Consider the following 17,991-nt stretch of genomic DNA (forward strand, 5'->3'; position numbering starts at 1 on the left):
AAAATACTCAAATGAAAAATATAAAATATTGGGAGTGGGCAGGGCTATAGTAAAATGCTGACAACTGTGAAAGCTGGGTGACAGGCATATGATTCTCTTCTATTCTCTTTTATTTTGTGGTATATTTTGAAGTTTTCCCAACAAGGTTTAAAAAAGGAAAAGAAACCTGGGCAATATAGTGAGACTGCCTGTACAAAAATAAAAATAGAAAACAAAAAATCAGCCAGGTGTGGCGGTGTACACCTGTGGCCCTAGCTACTAGGGAGGCTGAGGCAGGAGGATCACTTGAGTGCGGGGAGGCTGGGGCTGCAGTGAGCTGTGCCACTGCACTCGGCCTGGGCAACAAAGCGAGACCCCGTCTCAGAAAAGAAGAAAGAGCAAAGAGGACCACTTATCAACGTCTACAGAGCACTGCTAAAGCTACACTCACAGGGTGAATCAAACTTGTAAACTTTATTAATGAAGATGAATGAACTAAGCATTCAAGTCAAGATGTAAAGTGAAAACCAAAGTAGAAGGAACAAAAAGAATTGATGAAATATAAGACCAGGTGCAGTGTCTCAAACCTGTAATCTCAGCACTTTAGGATCACTTAAGCCCAGGAGTTTGAGACCAGCTTGGACAACAAAGCAAGACCCCATCTCCACAAAAAAATAAAAAATACAATAAAATAAAATAAGAAAAGCCATGCATGATGGCACACACCTGTAGTCCCAGCTACTGAGAGGCTGAGGCAGGAGGATCCCTTGAGCCCAGGAGTTCAAGGTTACAGTGAGTGAGTTATAATCACGCTACTGCACTCCCAGCCTGGGTGGCACGTGCCTGTAGTCCCAGCTACTTGGAAGGCTGGGGCAGGAAGATCGCCTGAGCCCAGGAGGTTGAGCCTGCAGTGAGCCATGATTGCACCACTGAACTCCAGCCTGGGTGACAGAGCGAGACTCTGCCTCAAAAAAAATTAAAACAAAACAAAACAGGCCAAGTGCAGTGACTCACACCTGTAATCCCAGCACTTTGAGAGGCTGAGGCAGGCAGATCGCTTGAGTCCAGGAGTTTAAGACCAGCCTGGGCAACATAGCGAAACCTCATCTCTACCAAAAATACAAAAAATTAGCCTGGCATGGTGGCACGTGCCTGTAGTCCCCAGCTACTTGGGAGGCTGCGGCAGGAAGATCGCCTGAGCCCAGGAGGTTGAGCCTGCAGTGAGCCGTGATTGCACCACTGCAATCCAGCCTGGGTGAGGGTGCGAGACCCTGCCTCAAAAAAAAAAAAAAACAAAAACAGAAACATAGCTACTTGGTCAATCAAAAGCAAAATCAGTTTCTTTGAAAAAAGCAATTGAAGAGCAATTAACTCTCTCTAGCCTGACAAAAGAAAAGAACACACACCCGAGATTACAATGATACAATATTATCTTTGCCTGGTTTTGAAATAAGAAGTGTTATAAATGGCAGTAATTGTATCTTCTGGTAGCTCCCAAGGAAATAAGAGCTTCTTTGTCTCACGGGTGCCACGAATTATTTTTGTAACTCATTGGCATTAATTGGGTTCTGATCTCGTTAGGGACCAATAACTATAATCAGGGGGCCAAGGGCATGTGTTATGTCTAGTAGCCACAGCCAACCAGGTCCACCCATGCAGCTGAGCCATTCTATCTAAAACACATGGTTTACACATGGTAGAAAGAGTTGTTCCCCAAAGGAAAATCGGCATTGTTTTGTCTTCCCAAAACAATGAGTAGATGTTGCAGAGATTAATCATTATAGACTATTCTACAGACACGTAAATTTCTATTTTATTTTATTATTTATTTATTTGAGACAGAGTCTCGCTCTGCTGCCCAGGCTGCAGTACAGTGATGCAAGATAGCTCACTGTAGCCTTGAACTCCTGGGCTCAAGCCATCCTTTCCACCTCAGACTCCTAAGGCGCTGCGACTACAGGTGCGTACACCATGCCCAACTAATTTTTTCTCCAAGAGACAGGTCCTGCTATATTGCCCAAGCTAGAAAACATGTAAAATTTTAAACAAAACACGAGCCTAATTAATTGATCACTAAATTTAGAGAACAAGACATCATGACTAAGAATGGTCTGTTCTAGGGATACAGTTTTAAAATTAGAAAATATATACTTATGGCTAAAAGGAGGACAAATAGGCCAGACCCAGTGGCTCACACCTGTAATCCCAGCACTTTGGGAGGCCGAGACAGGTGGGTCACCTGAGGTCAGGAGTTCAAGACCAGCCTGGTCAACATGGTGAAACCCCATCTCTACTAAAAACACTAAAAATTAGCCAGGCATGGTGGTGGGTGCCTGTGATCCCAGCTACTCGGGAGGCTGAGGCAGGAGAATCTCTTGAACCCGGGAGGCGGAGGCTGCAGTGAGCCGAGATTGCACCACTGCACTCCAGCCTGGGCGACAGAGCAAAACTCTGTCTCAAAGAAAAAAAGGACAAATAAACATATACGTGGCTGACCGACGACCATTTCAAAAATGCCCAAAAAACTGATGAAATTCAGCATGTATTATTTACTTTCTATGGAGTTTAACATCAGCAAATGGCTATATGAACAATATTTCCCCAAAGTAACATATTTACTAAAAAGCTAATAGTATAGTATTAAAATAAGCAACAGAATGACCAAGATGTTACTATTGTCAAAGACTGTCCAATAGGCCATCTAAAGAGACAGAATGAAGCAAGGAGACAAATACCACTGTCTGCAGATGACCTGTTTAGAAAACCTCTCTATTATAATGAAGCTCTAGTAACAGTGAAGGCAAGCTTGGCAAGTTGGCAAAACAAAAATTTTACACACACACATATACACGAGAAGCCTGAATCATGGAGATGATGCCAAGACTTAGCCAGGAGATTCATCACAAAAGATGTCTGTTCTATTCCAAGTTCATCTACACCCCCAATCACACTCCAAATAACATCTGTGATAGGCTGAAAAATGGCCACCCAAAGATAGGGAATCCCAATCCCTGAAATTTGTTTTACTTTTCTTGGAAAAGGGGTCTTTTCAGATGACATTAAGTGAAAGATACTAAGATGAGGAGATGATCCTGGATTATCTGGGTGGGTTCTAAATGCCACCCGTGACAGACGAGAAAGCCACGTGAAGAGGGAGGCAGGGGTGGGAACCATGCAGCTGCAAGCCAAGGACTGTGGGGCAGGAGCTGGAAGACGAAGAAGCAAAGAACAATCTCTCTCCTATCCCCCAGAGGGAGTGTGGCCCTGCCAGATTTCAGATTTCCAGTCTCCAAAACTGCGAGAGAATACATTCCTGTTGTAAGCCACCAAATGTGTGGTAATTTGTTACGGCAGCCCTGGGAAAGTAACACAACATCCCAGTAGGATATTTTTTTAACTCTAACAAGGATTCTCCTAAAAATTCACCTAAACATAAAACCAGGCTAGAAAATTTTGCAAAAAAAAAAAAAAAAAAGCTGGGATTCAACTAAAATTAGCAAAGCATACTACAAAGCAATGGTAATTAGCACTTGGTGTTACTGGCTAAGAAAGAGGCACTTGATGCATGAAACAGACTCACGTGTACCTGTGAATTTATTATTTGATACAAGTGCCATTTCAAATCAGCAAGGAATTGGGCCAATTTGTTATCCATTTTGAAAACATATAAAGTTTGATCCCTACCTCACAACATACTCTAAAATAAATTTCAGCTGGATTGGAGATCTGGATGTAAACAATCAAACCCTGAAGCCCTGAAGATTAAGGAGGAAAACCTGTGATTTGGGGCTGCAAAAAGTCTCCAACAACATATACTGTAAAAACCACTGAGGAAGATATTGATTTATTTGACCCTATCAGAGCATAAGAATTTTATAGAACACTAATATAGAAGTCAAGATACAAATGGAGTTTTTCAATGTCTGGAAAACATCTGAATAGGTTAGGACATATGAACACACAAATCACAGAAAATTAACATAAAATTGCCCACAAACACACGAATAGATGTTCATCTTCATGCAGCCTTTATGAGATCCGCAAAGATGAACAAAAGTGATCATTCAGTGTTTATAATGGTGAGGGGGAAAAAAGACTACTCAACCATTGAGGAAGTATAAAATTAGAAGGCAATTTAGAAACACATAACAAAAAATAGAAATATACAATCTAAGTCAGCAATCACACTTCAAAAATGCTACTCTCCAGAAGTGCCTGCAAAAGAATACAGAAGCATAGGTGTGACAGGTGAGGCTCACAACAGCATGCCACAGGCAAAGAACTGGAAGAACACGAGTGTGCGTCAGCACGAAGGCAGTCATACTAAGTGGGACAAGGACACCACACAGTAAGGCGCTGTTACCAACAAGAATCCAACGGCTCACGTATCAGTCTGGAAAAAGCACAGACTACTGTACATTAAATGAAAATGATCAAGCTGCAAAAAGAGAGCGTGTAGGACTTGGACTTTTTTTGTTTTTAAACTGGGGATACGGGCTTCCACATAAGAGAATATCTACATAGCTAGGGTATCAGAGCCCAAGTGGAGTGAGGAAGATGCTCATGGTGGGTGGAGGTGCAGGATGACAGCAGCTGAGTGAGATGAGGAGGCAGCGGGCATCCAAGCAGGAAGGTCAACAAGAGGAGCCTCGTTCCATACAGGGTGAATAATCAAGGAAGTAAACATATTAGAGACACTGGGATCTAAGATTGTCACTGTTGGGAAACGGAGTTATCCACTTGGAAAGCGAGAAACTAGAATAAACCCTGTGCTACTACATTGGAAATGGGGGTACTGGAATAAACTCATGCTTTTCAATACATGGAGATATTAAAAAATGAGACTGTGTTAAAAATACACACGCATGTAGCTGTAGGTATGTTTTGTATATGTATGTATACACATACTCTGTTGACTGAGAGGGCCTGGGTATAGTAACACTCCAGCAACCTAGCTGGTGCCTAGACCCTGTTTCTCTGAGAGCCAACTGCCATAAAAGGGAAGCAGGCCTTCTTGAAGAAAAGGCAGAATCCAGGTCTGGGGCAGGGAAGGTACATGAAGAGCCCAGAATATCCTGTGGTACAAGAAAGAAAGAGAAGAGAAGAGAAAGAGACAGAGAATAATGAGGACATATCAGAAGGACACAGACAGTAATCCCAGCACTTTGGGAGGCCAAGGCGGGTGGATCACCTGAGGTCAGGAGTTCAAGACCGGCCAACATGGTGAAACCTTCTCTCTACTAAAAATAAAAAAATTAGCCGGGCGTGGTGGCACACATCTGCAGTCCCAGCTACCGGGGAGGCTGAGGCGGGAGAATCACTTGAACCCAGGAGGCAGAGGTTGCAGTGAGCCGAGAGCTCGCTACTGCACTCCAGGCCTGGACAGAGTGAGACCCTGTCTCAAAAAAAAAAAAAAAAAAAAAAAAAAAAAAAAAAAAAGGGCCAGGCATGGTGGCTCATGCCTGTAATCCTAGCACTTTGGGAGGCAGAAGCAGGAGGCTGCCTGAGCTCAGGAGTTTGAGACCAGCCTGGGCCACGTGGTGAAACCCTGTCTCTACTAAAAATACAGAAAATTAGCTGGGCGTGGTGGCGCGTGCCTGTAATCTCAGCTACTCAGGAGACTGAGGCAGGAGAATCGCTTGAACCCGGGAGGTGGAGTTTGCAGTCAGCCGAGATGGCGCCATTGCACTCCTGCCTGGGCGACAGAGTGAGACTCAGTCTGAAAAAATAATAATAATGAAAAAAATAAATAGATAAATAAATAAAGGACACAGGAGCTTGAGGGGCTCTCAGGGGCAAACCTGAGATGATGAACATCAAATAAAGTCATGGCAAAAGGGTAACAATCAACCGAATTAACTGGGGAAACCATGAGCCAATATTGACATAAATAAGCAAATTGAACTCTGATTAAAGTTGAGATAGTTGAGATAACTGAAAGTTTGATTTTATTTCAAAAGTATCTCCCTACTATATACTTAACAATTACAAAGATTTCACAGTGGAGAAGCTGGAAGGCAGCACCTGAATCAAGCAAGTAAAGTGCACATCACCACTAAGGGGACTAACTGAATTCTGCACCACCTATTAGGATGCAGAGAAGAACCCAGCCTCCTCCTTGTACTGTTCCAGCCAGAGGCGCAAAACCTAGATCTAATCAAAAGGAAACACCAAACAAACCCACAATAAGGGACCCCACAAAATAACTGCTGGTAATCATTAAAAGTGTCAAGCTCAGGCAGAGGAACCATTCCAGTTTGAAAGAGACTAAAGAGATCTGACAATGAACTGTGGTTCTGAACTAGATCCTTTCAGTGGAATGAGAATGCGCTGCCTGATCAGAAGGCGGCAACGCATTCATGTTGATTTCCTGACTTTGATGGCTGTATTGCGGTTAAGGAGGAAGGTGTCTTGTCTATAAGTAAACATACCAAAATATCCCAGGGTGAGGTTCGTAGTCCCAACTTACTCTCAGGTGGTTCAGATAAAGAGCTGTACGGTACCCGTACCTCCTCTGTAAATTCAGGATCGTTTTTTAAAAAAATTAATGGAGGATATGTACTACTACTGTGATTAGAAAAACTAAACACCCTAAGGCCGGGCGCGGTGGCTCACGCCTGTAATCCCAGCACTTTGGGAGGCCGAGGCAGGTGGATCACAAGGTCAGGAGTTCAAGACCAGCCTGACCAATATGGTGAAACCGTCTCTACTAAAAATACAAAAATTAGCCAGGCATGGTGGCGTGCATCTGTAGTACCAGCTACTCGGGAGGCTGAGGCAGGAGAATCACTACTTGAACCCAGGAGGCAGAGGTTGCAGTGAGCCAAGATGGCACCACTGAACTCCAGCCTGGCTCCGTCTCAAAAAAAAAAAAAAAAAAAAAAAAAGAAAGGAAAACTAAACACCCTAATTTGGAAATAAACATCAATATAGGAGAGGGATGGCAGATAACACTGACCATTCCAGTTCAAAGTCAAAACCCAAATTTTGGGCGGGGCGCGGTGGCTCACGCCTGTAATCCCAGCACTCTGGGAGGCCTAGGCAGGTGGATCACGAGGTCAGGAGATCGAGATCATCCTGGCTAACACGGTGAAACCCTATCTCTACTAAAAACACAAAAAATTAGCCGCACATGATGGCGGGCACCCATAGTTCCAGCTACTGGGGAGGCTGAGGCAGGAGAACAGCGTGAACCCAGGAGGCAGAGCTTGCAGTGAGCCGAGATCCCACCACTGCACTCCAGCCTGGGGGACAGAGCGAGATTCCGTCTCAAACAAACAAAAAACAAATTTTGACTATATCTGTTTAATCACGAGTTCAACTACAAAATGAATGCACATTGCACCCAAACTTTATGTAGCAAAGCATATTGTCACGATTCTAAAGTCTGTCACCCAATCATTTTCTCAAACTTCATAAAAGATTTTTTTTTTCTGGTTCACGTTCTTTCATGAGAAAGTAGATTTTTAAACCACCAGAAAGCATCAAGAAAGCCACAGCACAACCTAGATATGCACAGCAGCACATCCCAAACAACTTCGAGGTCCACATGGGGAACTCCCCCCACCCCGCCCAGTTCTTCCTAGTAGAAGGCGGGCGCCCCCCGGTGCTCCATCTGGGCCAGCCACTAGCACTGCTGAGCCCCAGTCGTACACTGCCCTAAAAGACGAACAAGAGGCAAAACTCAGACACTAGGCAAATCGGAGTAACCCACGACATGTAACAGGAACACTGCCCAGCGAGAATTAGGAATATTTAAGCAGGGTGAAAGCAAGTGACTGCATCAATCAGCAAGGGCTTAAGGAAAGTACACACACATGCACACACACACATTTCCACCACTTCAAGACTGGGGGCAGGTAGAGAAGACAAGCATAAGTACATACTGGAATTAAAATACTCTAAGAAGAAGAATCCTAATGCATGCCAAATAAGTTCTAAATATGCTAAACCAGCCTTCAATAAAGCCATATGACCAACTGATAACAACAATCTAAATACTATACAAGGTAACTGGCGCAAGATTTGATGGAGAAAAGACCTTCACATCACCACCTCAGTCCTTCACAGGCCAGGTCCTCCTCTCTCTGAGACAGTAGGGCTGAACCCGGGGACACCCCAGAGCCCTGTAACACGCAGCCAGCAGTCTGCTGAGCTCGTTGTGCAGACGACAAAGGGAACACAGAACTTGGGTCTCAGGGGCTGGCCAGGCAGCTCCAAGCATGAGCAATTAGATCAAAATAGAAGCCTTGTTTCAAAAGAAAAAAATTGTATTCTTCAAAGTGAACTGATTTCATGCACACATACTATTATTATTATTATTATTATTATTATTATTATTATTATTATTTTGAGACGAGTCTCACTCTGTCACCCAGGCTGGAGTGCAGTGGTGCCATCTCTGCTCACTGCAAGCTCCGCCTCCTGGGTTCATGCCATTCTCCTGCCTCAGCCTCCCCAGCAGCTGGGACTACAGGCGCCCGCCACCAGGCCCGGCTAATTTTTTTTTTTTTTTTGGTATTTTTAGTAGAGACGGGGCTTCATCGTGTTAGCCAGGATGGTCTCGATCTCCTGACCTCGTGATCTGCCCACCTAGGCCTCCCAAAGTGCTGGGATTACAGGCATGAGCCACTGCACCCGGCCACACACATACTGATTTAAACCAATGCTATAAGACCACCTAATCGTCTACTTATCAGCAAATGTTTAAAAAGTAAATATAATTAAATCAGTAATATCATTTGAAACAGTCAAATGAGCTAGGTATTAATAAAATTAGAAAGCATATCACGTAAGAAGAGTGAAAATTAAGAGTAATATACACATTGCTACAAAATAAAACACATTCGGATGATGCAGTGTATTTCATTTTGTTCACACTAGCCAGCAAATACTGGGGTGAATACTACACACCTGTAATCATCTAATAATATACACTCAGGAGTAAGCAAACTCCAACATAAAGAAGACAAAGCAAAGGAAAAGTGAATTTTAAGGTTCTACTCACACACACTTCAGTCTTCTATTTACAAGCTACAAGACACCAAGCAACATGGTTCTCAACTGTCGAATGGTTACAGCAGACAGGCAGAAAAGATCCCAAAGGGCCATCCTTTCCTTTCGTTTTGTTTTTTTTTTTAATTTTTCAAGAAAAAGATTTAAGGCAAAAAGTTTCCTATTCTAATAAATAAATCAGAAACCATACATCTTATAATATTGAAAAGGAAGCCCTAAGGGGTAAAACTGTTTCTGAGCAAGTCACTTGTTTCAAAACCTCAATTTCAAAAATGGTAAAAGAGGCCGAGGGCCAGGCACAGTGGCTCACACCTGTAATCCCAACACTTTGGGAGGCCGAGGTGGGAGGACTGCTTGAGGTCGGAAGTTCAAGATCAGCTTGGGCAATATAGCAAAACAGAGTGAGACCCCCCACAACTCCCATCTCTACAAAAAAAAAAAAAAAATTTAATTAGCCAGGTACAGTGCCTGTAGTATGCTTCCCAGCTACTCAGGAGGCGGAGGCAAAAGGATCATTTGAGCCCAGGAGTTCGAGACTGCAGTGAGCTATGATAGTGTCACTGTACTCCAACTAGTGACTGAGCAAGACCCTGTGTCAAACAAACAAACTAGAGGCCAGGTTAGGTGGTTCACACCTGTAATCCCAGCACTTTGCACTTTGGGAGGCTGAAGCAGAAGGACTTGAGTCCAGGAGTACAAGACCAGCCTGGGCAACATAGCAAACCTCCATTTTGACAAAAAAAATAAAAATTAGCCAGGCACCCTATAGTCCTAGCTACTCGGCAGAAGCAGGAGGATTACTTGAGCTCAGGAGTTAGAAGCTGCAATGAGTTGTGATCACAGCACTGCACTCCAGCCTGGGCGACAGACTGAGACTCTGTTTCAAAACAAATTGGTAAAAGTGCCAAATAAATGACCCCCTTTAAAAACTATTTCTCCCAATTTTACACTTGTACTGTTGCTTTCTCTTTGCCTCCTTACCTCTATCTGTTCCAATGGATCTGGTCCTTTTGGGATAAGAGCCCTTTTCTCCAGTTTCCCCATTTCCCCTAAGGCTGTCTGTTGTGGCAACCCCTTTAGAAGTGCAGCTCTCTCCAGAGTCTCCACATGTAAATCTCCTACTAGGCCAGGAGCAGTTGCTATGCAGGTAGCTGCTGTCTTGGCACCCACGAGAAAACTGCTTTCTCTCCCCAAGGAACCACACACACTCAGAGGTTTGAAGGATGACCAAGGAGCAGGTGAGCTCAGCCACTGTGTCCTTCTCTGCCTGGCCCGAGGTAAGAGAGTCTTTGCTCACAGTGCCCTACCAATGCCCAACGACTTAACTCTAGCTGCCTGGGCCTAGTGTTGGGCAGGACTAACACGCAGCACAACCACTAAATTCACACCGCAAAAGTTCCCTAGAAGGGCATTTAGAACAGCTTTTGCAGCTGAGATAAGAATACACACTGACTGCACCTGGTTGAAGTTATTTCCCCACTCCAGAAAGAAACAAGCAGCATTTGGTCCAGCCAGCCAAACGAGCTGTGATAAGAAAGTCAGCCTGCACTGTGTTTAGAGGCCGACAGAAGGGCCAGGAAGAGCTGCGTCCTGCTGGTGCAGGGTGCCACTCCAGGAGCCCCAGATGGTGCAGGGTCCTCTCTCACAGGACAGAGCAAGGCCAAGAACATCACTGCTCCAACTCATTTATGCAGTCCCCAGCCCACCCACACCATACAACAGGACGCTGGAAGACTGGACAAAGGAATCATGCCAAGAAAGGTGACATATTACAGAAAACAAGCAACAGGAGAGAGGCAGCACTTAACCTGCTACACAACACAGCTGTATACAAGAACACTTGGCTGCCTCAAGGACAGCAGCGCCCTCAATACTGAGCTTGGTCACAGAAGGCACCTGCTTAGCATCCCTGGATCGCAAGTTTGTTAATCCAAGCACATGCAAGTCTCTGGAGAAAGCTGCTCCACAAAGCCATTCGTCGAGACCACACATTCAACAGTCATCCAAGAATACAAAAGTGACACCTTGAGACCTGGCCTTCAGACTGGATTATTTCTACATGAAGCATATCTCTCAGAGCCTAAAAAGCTGATCTAGATTCTGGCAGCCCGTTATAATTCACCAAAAAGTCAAGAAAGGACAAGTTCAGAATATTACTTCTTTTTTTGGAGACGGAGTCTCACTCTGTGACCCAGAATGGAGTGCAGTGGTGTGACTACAGCTCACTGCAGCCTCGACCTCCTGGGCTCAAACGTGCCTCCCACCTCAGTCTCCTGAGTAGCTGGGACCACAAAGGCACACCACCAGGTCCAGCTAACTTTTTTCTATATTTTGTAGAGATGGGGGTCTCACTTTGTTGCCTAGGCTGGTCTCAAACTCCTAGGCTCCAGTGATCCCCCTGCCTCAGCTTCCCAGAATGCTGGGATTACAAAGTGCATGTGTATGTATTACAGGCATAAGCCACCATGCCCGGCCAGATCATTACCTTTTTAGCAATCAACACTATGCTATCTGTTCATCCCTCAAAATACGTATATGGCACCTGCCATGATCAAGTTACTCTGCTAAGCCATAGGGATCCAAACCAAGTAAAAGCATCACCAATACATTAATAGCACACCAATGGCTTCACGTGTAACCCAGGCTTGGGGTGGAAGCAGTAAAATGAAGAGGGGAGTTAGTCCAAGAGGCTTGTGCATCCATCACATGAATTCAGGGAAGTGGCTATCAGCCTTAGAGCTGGATCCTTGACAGAATGATGGAAACACTAACCCAGCAAGAGTCTAGACTAGAAGCCAATCCCCCGAAGGCAGCCACAGATGGACTTGGTCCCAGTGCTAACAAGCAGCAGGTTACTGCAGAGATAGGCCGTGAGTGCCTAAATGGCTTTAGGGCTGGGACTTTGATTTGTTCACTGTTTTTCCAAAACACATTTACTGAATATGTACTTGGTGAAAAATAAATGCCAATTGAATCAATGAAAGATATTCAAAATCCCAAGAAACACAGGACAACTTTACAGCGTGTATTTCAGCACCGAATACCTATCTTGCTGCAAAGGCCTGGTTGGTCCCACTCCTGAACTAGAAAGTGCTGTGTGGGCAGGATATCCCCTTTGACCCTGAGCTTTAGAGAAGCCCCACAGACACTCAAACGCTGGGTAAATCTGTCAAGATGGAATGTTTAAATGTGTGAACTTCTAAAAGTTAAGGGCCAAGATAACAAAAAGAAGAAATAATTACAGATCTTGATTTCCTGGGCCTGTCTCTTCTCCTATAAAAAGTTGATATTAATGCCTTTTGTGTTACCATGAGCATATACATAGACAGCACTTAACCCGAGCTGGCACACAATAAACCGGTGTGGTGTTTTTTATTACTATTATCATCTGTGAGGACACCAGCACTGTAAGGCAACACAGCCCTAACTAAACGACTCCTGCAAGTGGCTTCACTCTACCAGGCTCTACTTTTTCATTTTTGAGACGGAGTCTCGCTCTGTCTCTCCCAGGCTAGAGTGCAGTGGCGCGATCTTGGCTCACTGCAGCCTCCAACTCCTGGGTTAAAGTTATCTTCCTGTCTCAGCCTGCTGAGTAGCTGCGACTACAGGCATGTGTCACTACACCCGGCTAATTCTGTATTTTTAGTAGAGATGGGGTTTCACCATGTTGGACAGGCTGGTCTCGAACTCCTGACCTCAGGTGATCCACCCGCCTCAGCCTCCCAAAGTGCTGGGATTACAGGCGTGAACCACCGGACCTGGCCAGGCTCTACTCTTTCCAACCAAAAAAACGGGGCCTGTGATGGCTATACCCTAGAGCCCTTTCAAGGACTGACCCTTTACAGCAGGGCTCCTCAACCTCAGCGCTGCTGACATTTTGAGTCGAATACTTCTGTTGCGGGGGCTGCCCTGTGTACCACAGGATGTAAGCATCTCTGGCCACAACCACCAGATGATTGTAGGTCACGACAACCACAAAGGTCTCTGGACACTGCCAGATGTGCCCTGGGTAACAAAAATCACCCTGGTGATAACCACTGCTAGAAATAAATAGCGTGATGACTAGTATATAGGAAGCAATGAATACAAAGTTGTTTATTTGTTTTTTTTTTTTTTTTTGAGATGGAGTCTCGCTCTGTCGCCCAGGCTGGAGTGCAGTGGCGTGATCTCGGCTCACTGCAAAGTTCCGCCTCCCGGGTTCACGCCATTCTCCTGCCTCAGCCTCCCGAGTAGCTGGGACTACAGGCATCCGCCACCATGCTCAACTAATTTTTTGTATTTTTAGTAGAGACGGGGTCTCACCGTGTTAGCCAGGATGGTCTCGATCTCCTGACCTCGTGATCCACCCACCTCAGCCTCCCAAAGTGCTGGGATGACAGGTGTGAGTCACCGCGCCCGGCCAAAAAGTTTTAATAGGTGAGGATTTTTATATCATTCATGGATTCTTAAACGTGATCACAAAATCAGATGTTTTATGAGTGACTACCAGCTCCAAGTGTTATCCTTCCAAACTTGAAAACTGAATTTCTGATAAACTGAGTTACCCAGGTTCTGAGGCATCTGTTTAAAAAAAAAAATGAAAAATGAAAAACCCACTCAGAGATTCAGCTTTTTTTTTTTGAGATGGAGTCTTGTTCTTGTTGCCCTGGCTGGAGTGCAATGGCGTGATCTCGGCTCACTGCAACCTCTGCCTCCCAGGTTCAGGCAATTCTCCTGCCTCAGCCTCCCACAGCTGGGATTACAGGCATGAGCCACCACGCCCGGCTAGTTTTGTATTTTTAGTAGAGACGGGGCTTCTCCATGTTGGTCAGGCCAGTCTCGAACTCCTGACCTCAGGTGATCTGCCCGCCTCAGCCTCCCAAAGTGCTGGGACTACAGGCGTGAGCCACTGCGCCTGGCCTCAGCTTTCTTATTTTTAAAAGAAAGGAGCTGAAATCCTACAGGTCAAAAAGTACCCCAAGTCAGGCTGGGAGCAGTGGCTCATGCCTATTATCACAGCACTTCATTGGGAGGCCGAGGCTGGCAGATCATTTGAGGTCAGGAATTCGAGACCAGCCTGGCCAACACGGCAAAACCCTATCTCTACTATTGTGCATGCCTGTAGTCCCAGCTACTCAGGAGGCTGAGGCAGGAGAATTGCTTGAACCCGGGAGGCGGAAGTTGCAGTGAGCGGAGATCATGCTGTCATACTCCAGCCTGGGTGACAGGGAGAGACTCTGTCTCAATAAATTAAAAAAAAAAAAAAAAGTATCCCAAGTCCCCAAGTCATAAGGCTGATAAGAACAGGTCCAGGGAGTAGCTCTGAACCTATTCAAAAAAAAAAAAAAAACGAGGAAAAGCCCAAAATTGAAGTGAGGTCTCCTGACTCCCAGTACAGTCAAAGACACCATCCTTTCATTTTTGTTTCTTTTTTGGGGGGCGGGGGGGACAGGGGGGCAGTGTCATCCTAACCTGGATAAACATCTCAACTCTTTGTTGAGTCAGGGAGAAATAATCAATATCCTGCCTTCTGTACCTAAGACAGCAAGTACTGCTGCAGGTCTCACAAGGTCTACCTCAAGAACTTCTGAGACTACAACAGAGGGAAAAGGCAAGCCCTAGAGTGGATCTGAAAAACGCTTATTTGAAAGAATTCATCGAGACTGCTCACGCCACTTGCTGACTGTTGACTTTGACATCAGCCACTTCTTACCTCTTCCTGCCCCAGGAGAGACCTGCGGTCATAGCACTGGGGTCTCTGGGATACAGCTAAGCCTCCTGAGAGACTGGAATGGGATGGGTAGGGGCTACACGAATAATGGTTTAATTAACATTGACAGTATTAATAGATTAATACTGCAGTGGGCTTGCTGTAGTGATGGTCTACCAAGGAACTTGATTTTTTAGCTTTAAAAATATTCTAAAAGATAACTCAACAAAACAATGTAAAAACTGGCAACCCCCCCATGAGGCTTTACCAAAAAATATATTCTAAACTGTATCTTCAAAACTGTAATTTTAATTATACTTTAATTATAATTTTAATACATGATTTAAATAAAAATAGGATCTTACATGCATTCTTTCACCATCTGCTACACTTATTTTCATTTGAAAAGACACCATGGCCATCTTTCCGAGTACCAAATACAAATTTACCTCATTTGTTAACAACTACATGTTGAGTGGAGTAAACATACCTTAATAAATCCCCTACTGATAGGACCCTTGAACTAATTTTTTTTTTTTTTTGCGATTATAAACAATGCTGGAAAGAACATCCTCTGCTCACTTGGGCCTCTACCCCCACAGGATAAATTGAATTGGAAATGGAATTATATGATGACAGGCAATGCATTGATAGATATTGCCAAGGTAAAACTGCCCACCTCCCAAAGAGTTTAACTAGTTACACTCACAACACCTGATTACAGAATACCTGTCCTCTTCTCCTTTGAGGACAACTAAAATGATCATGTTTATTCTTTTTTCCAGCCTGATGTGCGGGAAATACGATTTTAATGGCAACTCTGATCATCAGTGAGACAGCAATCTTGTTGAGCTTATTGACCTTTTGAATTTCTGTACTGTGAAGATCAAACTAATCACAACCAATCCGTCGTCCACCTTTCTACCAGTGTTTCAGCAACGCTTGTGAGACAAAGCAAAATCCACATCTGGGCAACAGAGCAGTAGGAATGAACAGAAAGAATTATAAATTTAAGTGAAACTCAAGTTGTATGCCAAAAATAACATTCCTAAAGGGCACCCAGGCAAAAGTGATGAGAAAATACTATTAAAAAGGACATCTTTTGCCTCAATTAGTCACACAGTAGACAACGTAAGCTGATGACCTGAGACACCTCAGCCTGCCAAAGTTCCGTTTCATTCACAAACATTAACCTACTCTGCTTTAAGAGAAGGGCTCCCCCAAAAGGTAATTGTGCTTGCAGAAAAGCGTCAAAGTGTATACTGTTTTGCGGGGTATGCAGACCTGGGTAGATGGTAGACTGAGGCTGACTGACAAGGCCAGGTTAGGGAAGCAGTGAAGTAGCTGAAGGCACAAACTGGAGCCAAACCACTAACTCTAGCCTTTGCCTCAGGGTCTACCTCGACCTGTGATAACAACAATACTTGCCTCCTACAGGTGACAGGAAAAGTAAGAAATGTCGTGAATGGTGTGGCCCATGGTCACTTCACCACGATCCACCACCAGTACTGGGTCACTCTGCTCCAGCTCTCCAAAGGCATCAAGATCCGACTGCTAGGAGCCCCGGCTTCTTCCCTGACCTGCCCGTCTCCTACACCCTCTGGTCCTGCTCCACACTGGTCTAATAACTGGTGTTCCACATTCCTCTAACGTGCACAACACAGTCCTGCCCCCGTGCTTTTCACCTCCTGTCCATTCCTCTTATAACGCTCTTCCCCAGATCGCTGCCCATGGCTTGTTTGCTCATCTCAAGTTTGAATCAACTGTCGCTCAATCAGCAAGGCCTCCCCACTATGCCAAACTGCCACTGTGTCCCCCACTCCACTCCCCTCGATACTTTATTTTCCTCCTTTCTTCTTGTCCACATTGGACATACTGCATATCTGCTGGTCTGCTGACTGCCTGACACCGCTTACCAAAACGTGACCTCCGTGAAAGTGCAGGAGAACACACTTGCATTTTCCTTACTGTGTCCCACTTCCTGGAACAGTGTCTCCAGCACGAGCCGTTGTCAGATCAATACATTTACACTACTTCGTGAAGCACCACTAAAATGATAGTAAACGATTTTTTCTTTTTTTAAGATACAAATCACGAAAGCAAAGAATAAGAATAGAGATAAGAACATTAAAATACTGGAGGCTAGAAACTGGAAACAGACCTAAAAGGGCTGAATCCTGTATCGGCAATGGGGAAGGCCAACTGGCAATATGACTGGAAGCCAGGAGACCTGAATTAAAAACAGAGTTGGCTGATAGGTTTAAAAGGCACGAAGATCCCTAAGATGCACCCCACAACTCTGCACAGCCACACAGAGCCAACCTGCACAGTCCCTCTCCTATCCTGGCAAAAAGGTATCGCTTTTCTGTCTGCAAAGGGAAGTAGAATCTTTGGACTGGGGACACCAGTTACAGAGGAGGGAAACAATTCTGAAAAGAGGGAAGTAAGCTCTTTTATGGTTACTGCTGTGCTCCCAGGCCTCTCTCCTCACTTGGCCACTCAGCCAGGCAAAGGGCTACAAGATATTTCTCTGGGGAATCTGAAGAAACCCAAAGAAGCTGACAAGGGTGCTGTAAGGAAATGGCCCAGCCAGGTGCCTCTGCAGTGAAAGCCACAGTCAGCCACAGACACAGGCTCAGAGGCCCTCTGACTCACGAGCAGGCACAAGAACATCACTGCATAGCCCAGAAAAGGCTGACAAAAGCCAAAAACCCACAACAAACCAGAGCAGCCTCAATAGTGACTTAAGGAAAAAGAAAACAGGGAAAAATAAAACCTCATCAATATCTTCCAACAGTTAACAGGAGATACCACATTCATGAAACAAAAAATAGGTTATAAAATAGGAATAGAGGGAACAAGAAAAAGCTCTTAGAAATGAGAAAAACCTTGGTAGAAGGGCTGGAAGACAAACTTGAGAATAACTTCCAGAAAGAAAATGAAAAACCAAAGGGTACAAAACATCAATTAGACAGGAGGAATGTGGTTTTCTTTTATGAGATATATTGTACAGCACGGTGAATATAGTAAATAATAATGTCGATTTCAAAAGTGCTGACAGTAATCTCATATGCTTTCACCACAAAAAACTTAAAGTATTTGAAGTGATGAATTATGTTAACTTGATTTTATTATTTATTGTATCCATAAATCGTAACATCACTTTGTACCCCCTAAATATGTACAAGTATAATTTGTCAATTTACAATTTAAAAGATAAAAACAAAAACAAAAATTTTAGAGGGGGGAAAAAGAAACCTTAAGAAAATTATGAGTGCCAATCCAGAAAGTCCAAGAGTAGAATTCTA

At 44.4% G+C, this 17,991-nt stretch overlaps 1 protein-coding gene across 15 annotated transcripts in view, besides 1 other annotated feature; it reads right to left on the reverse strand.

The window, feature by feature from the left end:
* The window catches only part of HDLBP (high density lipoprotein binding protein), an 88,382-nt gene that overhangs the window by 65,374 nt on the left and 5,017 nt on the right, over positions 1-17,991 (reverse strand). The window contains exon 1 of one of the 15 annotated variants that reach the window (XM_005247002.5): positions 9,976-10,063. The exons of the other annotated variants lie outside the window; for them this stretch is intronic. The gene's annotated coding sequence lies outside the window, so the exon portion shown is untranslated. Of the gene's footprint in view, positions 1-9,975; positions 10,064-17,991 lie in introns of those variants that run through there. 15 annotated transcript variants of the gene reach the window in all.
* Positions 16,740-17,241: an enhancer, noted in NCBI's record as "H3K4me1 hESC enhancer chr2:242248819-242249320 (GRCh37/hg19 assembly coordinates)". NCBI's record gives its function as "activates a minimal SCP1, AML or CMV promoter by ChIP-STARR-seq in naive H9 embryonic stem cells {active_cell/tissue: H9 hESC(naive)}" and the evidence as "EXISTENCE:reporter gene assay evidence [ECO:0000049][PMID:30033119]".

This window comes from Homo sapiens, chromosome 2 (genome assembly GCF_000001405.40).
Source record: "Homo sapiens chromosome 2, GRCh38.p14 Primary Assembly".
In the NCBI taxonomy this organism is placed as follows: domain Eukaryota; kingdom Metazoa; phylum Chordata; class Mammalia; order Primates; family Hominidae; genus Homo; species Homo sapiens.